Here is a 10520-nt window from a genome sequence, read left to right on the forward strand (position 1 = left end):
CTTTCAGTTCCTCTGCCCCTGTGGCTTTGCAGGGTACAGCCCATGTGGCTGCTTTCATGGGCTGGTATTGAGTGCCTTCAGCTTTTCCAGGTACACAGTGCAAGCTGTCAGTGGATCTACCATTCTGGGATCTGGAGGATGGTGGCCCTCTTTTCACAGCTCCATGAGGCAGTGCCCCAGTGGGGACTCTGTGTGGGGGCTCCAACCCTACCATTCCTTTCTGCAATGTCCTAGTAGAGATTCCCCATGAGGGCTACAGCCCTGAAGAAGACTTCTGCTTGGACACAGAGGTGTTTTCATACATCCTCTGAAATCCAGGCAGAGACTCCCAAACCTCAACTGTTGCCATTGCAAGCCAAACACCACATGGAAGCTAACAAGGCTTGCAGCTTGCATCCTCTGAAGCAATGGCCTGAGCTGTACCTTGGCTCCTTTTAGCCATGGCTGGAGTCGAAAGTGGCTAGGACACAGGGCACCATATCTTGAGGCTTCCAAGAGCAGCATGGCCCTGGGCCTGGCCTACAAAATCATGTTTTCCTTCTAGGCCTCAAGGCCTTTGATGGGAGGGGATGCCACCAAGGTCTCTGAAACACCCTGGAGGCATATAACCCATTGTCTTGACTGTTAACATACAGCTTCTCTTTACTAATGCAAATTTCAGCAGTTGGCTTGAATTTCTCTTCAGAAAATGGGTTTTGCTTTTCTACCACATGGTATAGCTGCAAATTTTCCAAGCTTTTATGCTTTGCTTTCCTTTTAGATATAAGTTCCAGTTTCAGATAATCTCTTTTTTATGCAAATGAGCATAGGCTTTTAGAAGCAGCCAGGCCACATCTTGAATGCTTTCCTGATTAGAAAATTTTTCCATCAGATACCCTAAATCATCTCTTTCAAGGTCAAAGTTCCACAGATCTCTAGAGCAGGGGCAAAATGCTACCAGTCCCTTTTCTAAAGCATAGCGAGATGACTTTTACTTCAGTTCCCAATAAGTTTCTCATCTCTATTTGAGACCGCCTAAGCCTGGACTTCATTGTCTATATCACTATCAGCATTTTGGTTACAAGCCTTCAACAATTCTCTAAGAAGTTGCAAACTTTTCCTCATCTTCCTGTCTTCTCTGGAGCTCAAACTGTTCCAACCTGTGCCCATTTCCCAGTTCCAAAGTCACTTCCTCATTTTCATGTTTCTTTAAAGCAATGCCCTACTTCTCTACCATTTTTCTTTATTAGTCTGTTCTCACACTGCTATAAAGAACTCCTGAGACTGGGTAATTTATGAAGAAAAATATGTTTAATTGACTCACAGTTCCATAGGCTGTACAGGATGCATGGCTGGGAGGCCTCAGGAAACATACAATCATGGCAGAAGGTGAGGGCACGCAAGCACGTCTTACCATGGCAGCACAAGAAAGAAAAAGAGTGAAGGGGGACGTGCTACAGACTTTTAAACAACCAGATCTTGTGAGAACTCACTCACAAGACAGCACTAGGGGGATGTGTTAAACCATTAGAAACCATCCCCATGATCCAACCACCTCCCACCAGGTGGTCCCACCTCCAACACTGGAGATCACAATTTAACATGAGATTTGGGTGTGGGCACAGTGCCAAACCATATCACACTGCTGTAGATAATGAGACATTTTGCTTATTAAACAATTTTGATTCCAGATAATTCAATAGTTCTAAATTTACTATACGTATCTGAGTAAAATGTAAATATAAGTCAGACACTCATATGAGATTTTACTATTACAATTAGTTTGATTCAATTTTTAACCAAATGAAATAAGAAAACCAGGCAAAAACACCAATTTCATTTGATTTAAGCATATAAGCATATTTTTTACCCAAAATGTTAATTGTTTAACTGTAATTCAGAAAACTTTTAGATATAGCAGAAACAAATAATTAAAATAGTTTAATTAAACCTTGGATAATATAACACCTAAAGAACTTCCCTGGACTTAGACTACTTCATAAATATAGAATAGACAAAGTAATTAATTTGGGGAGACTTATTTTCATGTTTCTTTTATTCCTTTGTTGGCTTAATTTAATTATAGTAAATAATTGTTTAACCTGAAGAAAAAATAGTTACAGGTGGTTTCTCTTTACATGCTGGAATGTAACAGTAAATGAAATACAAAATAGAATGCTATTTTCTATTAGCATTAATAGAAATGCTATTTCTAGCATTTTGTATCTTTAACTATAAGTTTTGCTGTTTTACGTTTTCAACTTTCATTTTGGTTTCATTGTTTGCTGTATTTGTTGCTATTTTGTTTTGAGTGTCAGCAAAATCTCTTTGGGATCTTGCTGACCAAAGCAGAATTAAGAAACCACACAAGCCACCTAGTTAAGCATTTAAAATCCAAGTATCAATGTTCGTAGCAACGGAAGTTGCTAAATGAGCTAAAAAGACGTGTAAGTTATCTTCTAAATTACTGAACTTCTCATTTTCTCTACACAGACAACCACTAGGTGGCGTCTGCCCACTGATATTCTGATGTATCTTGCAGATACACAGGAAGCCAACACACGAATTGTTCCTTGAGAAGTGGATCAATGATGTGATGGTTTGGAGGGTCCAGTTTTTATACTTGCTATGAGGCTTGATATTTCTAATGTACTTCACATTCTCTTGTTGCAAAATACACTCTTTGGGTTCAATTATTACTCTGGAATATTCCCACAACCCCTGTGTTCTTATCTGTCCTATGCAATGTGGCAAAATGCTTATCCAGGTGACTAATATTTACTTTTCAGAGCATTAAAAAAATGTTAAAAGTCAAATAAATTTATTTCAAAACAATTTTCGTTTAAGGACAATGGCAAACATTAGTTAAAAGATCAGTTAAAAAGATAAGAAATCCCTTATATATTTTAAAGTTTATATTCCAAACTTCCCTAAAGTTTTGAAAAAAATAGGCCTTTTTCATATCTTGAAAATTATAGGTATCCAGGTGCTTAAATTTATTTAAACTTGAATTAAATACAATTATTCTAATTACAAAGCATATTGTTTTGCATCAGTATTTATAACACATTACCTTATTTTTTTAATGATTAATACTATCAAAACTTCCCTTGAATGAAGATCATATCATTTTCCATATATCTATTTGTTTACATTTCTATCTATCTACCTATTTCTCTATCTATCTATTCATCGGTTTCTATTGGCAGATAATAGGTTTATATATCAAAGCTAGAGTATTAAAATTAGTGATTTGTGTTTTAATTTTGTAAGCTTCACATACCTGTTTTATTTTACGAAATATCATATGTGGGCCAGGTGCGGTGGCTCATGCCTGTAATCCCAGCATTTTCGGAGGCCAGGAGGGCAGAGACTAGCCTGGCCAACATGGTGAAACCCCATCTCCACTAAAAATACAAAAATTAGCCAGTCACTGTGGCATGCACCTGTAATCCCAGCTACTTGGGAGGTTGAGGCAGGAGAATCACTTGAACTCGGGAGGTGGAGGTTGCAGTGAGCCAAGATCGTGCCACTGATCTCCAGTCTGGGCAACAGAGTGAGACTCAGTCTCAAAAAACAAACAAACAAACAAACAAAAAAACATATGTGATATGGATTGGCTCTGTGTCGCCACCCAAATCTCATCTCAAATTGGAATTCCCATGTGTTGGGAGAGGAGCCTGGTGGGAGATGATTGAACCATGGAAATGGAATAACTACTTGCTGTTTTTTTGATAGTGAGTGACATGAGATCTGGTTGTTAGAAAATGTGTGGCAATCCCGCCTTCCCTCTCTCTCTCCTGCTTTGCCATGGTAAGGTGTGCTTGCTTCCCCTTCGCCTTCCCCCATGATTGTAAGTTTCCTTAGGCTTCCCAGTCATGCTTCCTGTTAAGCCTGCAAAACTGCAATTCAATTAAACCTCTTTTCTTCATAAAATATCAGTCTCAGGTAGTTCTTTATAGCAGTGTGAAAACGGACTAATCCAATATGGTAGTTATTTTGAGAATTCAATGAATACTATCACTTTACTGAGAAAGAACTGATTATAAGGCCAGGACTTGGAGATATATTACAGTCTGGATAAGGAAGTATGATCACTTAACAAGTAGAAAGTATTTGATCGTCTGATATAATTTGGATGCCTCTTCCAAATCTCATGTTGAGATGTAATCCCCAGTGTTGGAGATGGGGCCCAGTAGGTTGTGTTTGAATTATGAGGGTAAATTCCTCATGAACGGCTATTTAGGCCATCCCCTTGGTGATAAGTGAGCTCTTTCTCTGAGTTTAAGGAAGTTCTGGTTATTAAGCAGTGTGTGGTCCCTCCCCACCCATTCTCTTTCTTGCTCTATTCTCATTGTATGATAGGTTTGCTCTGTCTTTGCCTTCTGCCATAATTGGAAGCTTCCTGAGACCTCCCCAGAAGCAGATGCCACTATGCTTCTTGTACAGCCTGCAAAACGATGAGCCAATTAAGCCTCTTTTCTTATAAATTACTTAGTCACAGGTATTTCTTTATAACAATGCAAGAACGGCCTAACACATCGTCTACATGAGAGTGTAAGTCAATGACTTTAAATTTGGTCTTTTTTAACATCTTTTTTTTTTCAGTAATTCTACATCATTTTATATTGGTTATCATAATACTTCTTAAAATTGTTTAAGAAAATTAGGAAATTTGATTACTGGCTATTTTGAGGCATGCTTTTTTATAGTTAGTAGCATAGAATTATGAAAACCTGAAATGCAATTGCGATGACCTTGAAAAGGATGTGTGTTCTGTGATTTTTTTATGTATGTATGAATGTATATATGCATGGATGGATGAATGGAGAGATGAATGAAAAGACAGATAGTTAGATAAGTGGATTTATTTTCTGAACTCCTTTACTAAAGAAGTCTTATTTAAAGAACTGCAGAAATCTTTTTTGAAACACTTTTTCATACAAATCATTATGATTTTCCTAGGAATTTAGTTTATTCTGCTTTTTGTTATTTTGTGAACATTTGTGTATGCAGAACTCTTTCCTCCTGTGTGATGTAAAGCATATATGCTGAAGTTTCAAGAGGTGATAAATGTATTGGCTATTAAATCAAGAATTTCTAATGTAATGCTTTAATAAATACTATAGTACATATGCGGTTATGATTAGTTGCCCTAGATTTATGCTAAATGACTTACTTTTATTATTCTTTATACGAAAGCAGATTTTCCTAAACCATGACTGCATGAAATAGAAAAAAAACATATAGTGTTGTCATATAGTGTTTGTTTTGCAAATCTGAAATTAAAGCAAAGCAGATTTAGGTATTATAAACACATACTTTTTAATCGATATTAAAAACTCACCTTTATTATTATTATTATTATTTTGCGATTTGAAAATTGGTGACTCGCTTTTTCTATTGTTTGCTAAATGTTACTTATTTTAAAATATGCAAATATAGATTGCTTATCTAATTTTATTAAATGCATAGGTTAAATATACATTTGCAGTATTAAATACACATTTGTAATTAAAATATTTATGGGACTATCATTAAAAAAAAGGACAAAAAGTGAGGTAGATTTTATTTCCAGAGTTACAAAAACTACCCATAATTAAGTTGTATCAAGTGTTTATTATAGGCTTGAAAATCCACAAAGTGCTTTTCAGTAAATTATAAAAAAAAATATAATATTTGAAATACTTTGCATTCTTACATTTACTTTATAAAAATGAAAATAGAAACCAAGAGATTTAAGGAAGTTGGCATCCCATTGCTTATTTTTGAGTGAGACTTGGATTTGATCTAAAGCATTTGGACACCAGAGCCCCAAAGGCCTGACTTTCACAAGGAAGGGCTGGGAAACATCAAAAAATTAATTCTTCATGCAACCTAGTCTAACTCTAATATTAAGGGTGTGTGTCACTCCTCAAATTCTTGTTCTCGGACTGGAAGAAATTATTTTTGGCTGCTTTCTCTTATTCCCTGAACTATATTTTTTTATTATTTGGATGCATAGTGAAGGTTCTTTGATGCTCTATTATGAATCTAGAATAATTTTCCTTGGGATAATAATTATCAAAGCATGGGATATGTTAGTATTTAAAATTATGCTTTTCTTCCACAAAAGAAAATGAAGATGGGATTGGGTTAAGCAGGGTATTTGAAGTCACAGTCTTGATCTATACAAAATCAAAAGAATCAAAACCAGAAGTTTTGACAACACACACACACATACACACACACATGCACACATACTAACACAAACATACCTAAATCTACAGAAAACCGATTACATTTACCTTAGAATGTATGCAGTTTTGCATTTATTAAGAATTTCCAGAAGAAAAATTTGTAAGAAAAGTCTAAATTATTATCATGTTGATGTATCTTTTGGCTAGGAAAAACAGATCAAAAATCTACTGTACAATTACAAAGGGAATTCATGAAGACATGCCCAGATGCTAATACAAAATACTATATTATTTAATAATCAACACTTAAATATACATGGTAGAAAAATATGATTAATTAAAGAAGAGAATCTGGATAAGTTAAGCTTAAGACAGTTTAAGAATAGTAACTGCAATGAGGGTACATGTGAAGGCATTGTTACAAGGTAATAGTAAGTCTGACTATAAAGACTATAATTTATGGGAATAGAATTTGGGAGATCATATTTTCCAAATCGTATGCCCTATCATTTGTACTGTCATAATTCAACACCCAACAGCAGTGACTTTATCTTTCCACAAATCTACAAGTAGTAAGTTATCATACATACAACATGGAATGTTGATCTTAGACTACATTTTCCCTTGTATGTTTACACAGTACAGTGAAACAGAGCTATCTGTTTGTTTTTAAGCAACTCCTTTAGATAACACAGAGAGTCTCATCACATATGACCATCTTGCTGAACTAACAATGAGATAAATACCATGATCAATATTTGACAATATGCAAATGCAGCAAATGGAACTAGATTCTATGTTGCCAACTGTGTAGGTCTGATGGCAAAAGAAACTATCTTTGTACCTACATTAAAGACAGCATGAGAACTTGCGTTGTCATAATTTAGTTTGTATTATATTTTGACTAAAGCTTTTATTAAGATTTCTGACAATTTAAATAAATGCTAATGGTGATGCGTAGCTATATTCTGTTGTCATATAAGGAAATTTCCTCATAAGGGAAAATTTAGAATTGCAAATAGCATGCTTTATCAAATATCTACTTATTATGATCTTGAAGAGATTACTCATCTGGGAAGTTTTAGAATGAGACGAAATGACTTCACACTACATTTAAAAGCTGAGTTTCTGTCAGTTGGGGAAATACTCCCTTTTCTGGAGGTGTCTTTGAAAGCTAATAGAGTAGATGTAATAGATTAGAAACCCAAGATAGACAGTACTACTGTTCTACAAACTTCCAGTGCCTACCTTTTTTTTCTTTTCTACTTGAAAATAAAGTTTCAACCCTCATGCACAAGTTTAGCTTAAAATATGTCAAACATATTTCAGTTGCACAACTATTTTAAATCCTGTCCTCCCATGGAGGCATGAGATCCCTTGTAAACAATTTAAATTCCTTTGCATAATTCCAACAGGGAGTAATGATTGGAGAAGGGCCTTGTATATCTTCTTAACCAGGTGAAACAAGGAATTCCTTGCAAGAGAATTTTTATTAAAGTTAATAGATTCTAGCAGCTATTAGTAGAGTGAGTTGTCAAAAGTATTTGATATGATCTTATTCAGCAAGCATCCATGGAGGAGATGTATCTCAGGTAGAAAGCAGTTCTAAGTTTGGGGTTGTTAGTAATCTTATGAGGTACTTCCTGAGAAGGGGGTTTCAATCTTTAAAAGTGATACAGCTTAAGATACCTTATAAAGGCCTATTATTGGTAATTACTTGTATTTTCATTTTATCTAAATGTCATAGAGGAAGAAGCCAAGAACATTATGAGCCTATGTTGTATTGGTTTTGTTTGTTTGTTAATAAATCCTGAATGCACGTCAAGAGATAGAGACCATCCTGGCCAACATGGTGAAATCCCATCTCTACTAAAACTACAAAAAATTAGCTGGGTGTGATGGCGTGCACCCGTAGTCTCCAGCTACTCGGGAGGCTGAGGCAGGAGAATCACTTAAATCCAGGAGGCAGAGGTTGCAGTGAGCTGAGGTCGCGCCACTGCATTCCAGCCCAGGCGACAAAACGAGACTCCATCTCCAAATAAATAAATAAATAAAGCCTGAATGAAATTTTCTTGTTTGGGATTGACGATTAACTTTATACTCTTTATGGGAAAATGTAAGGTGTTATATTATTATTATTTTATGTTTTCACAGTTTTCACCTGACATGATTTTTAAAATCTCAACTCTTTTTACCAGTGGTTCACCACCTGGCAGTGATGATCATTAAGAAAAACATACTGATTTATTTTCTTATCTAAAGTATGCAGTGGCAATAGAATTTACCGTATATAATACAATAAAATCATTTAAATATGTTTAACTGCTTTCCAGTAGACTTATTCAAAGACTGACTTCTGGGTCAAAGTTTTTATTTTCAGACAACAAATGCATACCCAGTAGTTTAGGCAGTAAAGGGTTTGTTGAGCAATGCTTGGAAGTTCACAGATTATTTGGATGAGCAGGAGCAACAAAATTTCTGGGAAGTTTTTACCAATGAACATTAGATGTCAGATGACCTGTGGTGAAAGAAAACTTAGGTTACCAAGCCCTTGCGTATACTTTATATTTGACACCAAAGAAACATTTTTTACCAGCATTGAACAAGCCTAAAGAAGCTGGTCTCAATCTGACTGCTTCTACAAGAAAGATACCATATCAGGCATGCTCTCCACAATAGAGCTCTTTTTCCCCCCTAGTTAACAAAGATCTTCTAGGTTATTTGTTAAGTTGATCCGTGGGATAAATGAATAATCAACTACTAGCAAAGAGCTCTGAGAGTGTAGCTATTTGGCTTGCCACTTCTGACCTGCTGTCTAATCTGACAAGCATACAATACCTTCTTGTATCTGTTTGCTAAGTGACTCTATCTGGCTTTACTCCATGCATTTGGGGGTCCATTGCAGAATCTCTCACTTCCATCCCTATTTTCCCGAGGACAGTTGATACAGAGGTTTTCCAGATTGTTGCTGTTTTCCTCACTAGTGCAATTTTCCTTTCCTTTCCTTTCCTGAAGGGAATGTTCTCAGACACATCTCCAGGGATATAATTAAAGAATAGTGAATGATTCACACATTTTTTCAACTTACATATCTCCTAGCATTTGGATTACTTCTCTATATAATTTATCATAATTTATGACATCTCAAATATTTTAGAATAAGCCAACATTAAGTACCAATCAACATTGTCTACCAATCAAATGAACAATTGCTATCATTCCCATCTGTTTCAGCTGTCTCTGATTATGTGTGTACATCTAGCATAAGTTTCTCTACTATAGATTTATTGTAATTCAGTTCTTTATAGGACCATAATCTTATTTCTTTCTACATCTTTTCATGGCTACAAAGAAAAATGTAATTCTTCCAAAGCAGTCTAGAGATTGCACAGTTCTTGGATTCTCCTTTTGTATAAGAACATAAAATGGCAGGCTTGAAATTGTCTTTCTTTAAGGTTTTCATAGCAGTTATATGTACTCAACCAGCTTATTCATTCTTATAATCTTTTTGACCAGAGTCATAATTTATAACAGCAAGTATTCATTCCACAAAATGGATTGCCTTGCTTTCAGTAGAAACATCAGGGTGATCCTTTATCTGTGAAAATTTAAAACAGGTGGAAAAATACTTCACTTACCATGTGGTAAAAACTATAAGAATTATAACTTTTGATGCTAATTTGGATATAACTTCTTCCAAAATTAACCAGATTTCTACTTTTCTCAAAGTCTTTTTGTCTGAAACCAGTCTTGGTACTTTTTATTTACCAACATAATTGGTTTCAGATACTAAAATTAGCTGTTTTAAACAGGAAGGAATTTTCTAAAATGAGATTAAAACAAATTATAAACTAATTCACAAAACTTTTGGCAGAGCTTAAAGAAAGTACCTGGCTGCATTTCTAGGGTGCCATCGAAGGTTGAGCTGTTGTTTAATGCTTGAGATATTTATAGACAGAATCACTTTGCCTTACCAGAGTCAGGAGGCTGCTGTTACTTCCGTTAATCAAGAACCGTGCTTTTCCTATTGCTATTTGTGCAGTTACCTCATTTTTCATTTCTTATTGCTTCTGTCTGAAATAAAATCTCATACTGATACATATAATCATTTGTTTAAAAAGGTTTTTCATGGTAATGAATAGCAAATGCTCACTCTAACATCTATCCAAAAAATACATAAACAATACATATAATTGAATACTTATACAACCAACAATCATGCAATAGTTGTTTCCATTTACTTTGGCATGTTAAATATAACAAATATTTTTATGTCCAGGAAAGGAAACAGAGAGCTGGCCAGGTTGCCATAATGCTATTTAACAAGCTTCACTGTGGGATCTGTAGATATGACACATTAAA

General features: G+C 35.2%; 1 annotated feature.

Moving 5' to 3' along the window:
* Positions 332 to 843: an enhancer, noted in NCBI's record as "NANOG hESC enhancer chr4:65022490-65023001 (GRCh37/hg19 assembly coordinates)". NCBI's record gives its function as "activates a minimal SCP1, AML or CMV promoter by ChIP-STARR-seq in primed H9 embryonic stem cells {active_cell/tissue: H9 hESC(primed)}" and the evidence as "EXISTENCE:reporter gene assay evidence [ECO:0000049][PMID:30033119]".

This window comes from Homo sapiens, chromosome 4 (genome assembly GCF_000001405.40).
Source record: "Homo sapiens chromosome 4, GRCh38.p14 Primary Assembly".
Taxonomy (NCBI): domain Eukaryota; kingdom Metazoa; phylum Chordata; class Mammalia; order Primates; family Hominidae; genus Homo; species Homo sapiens.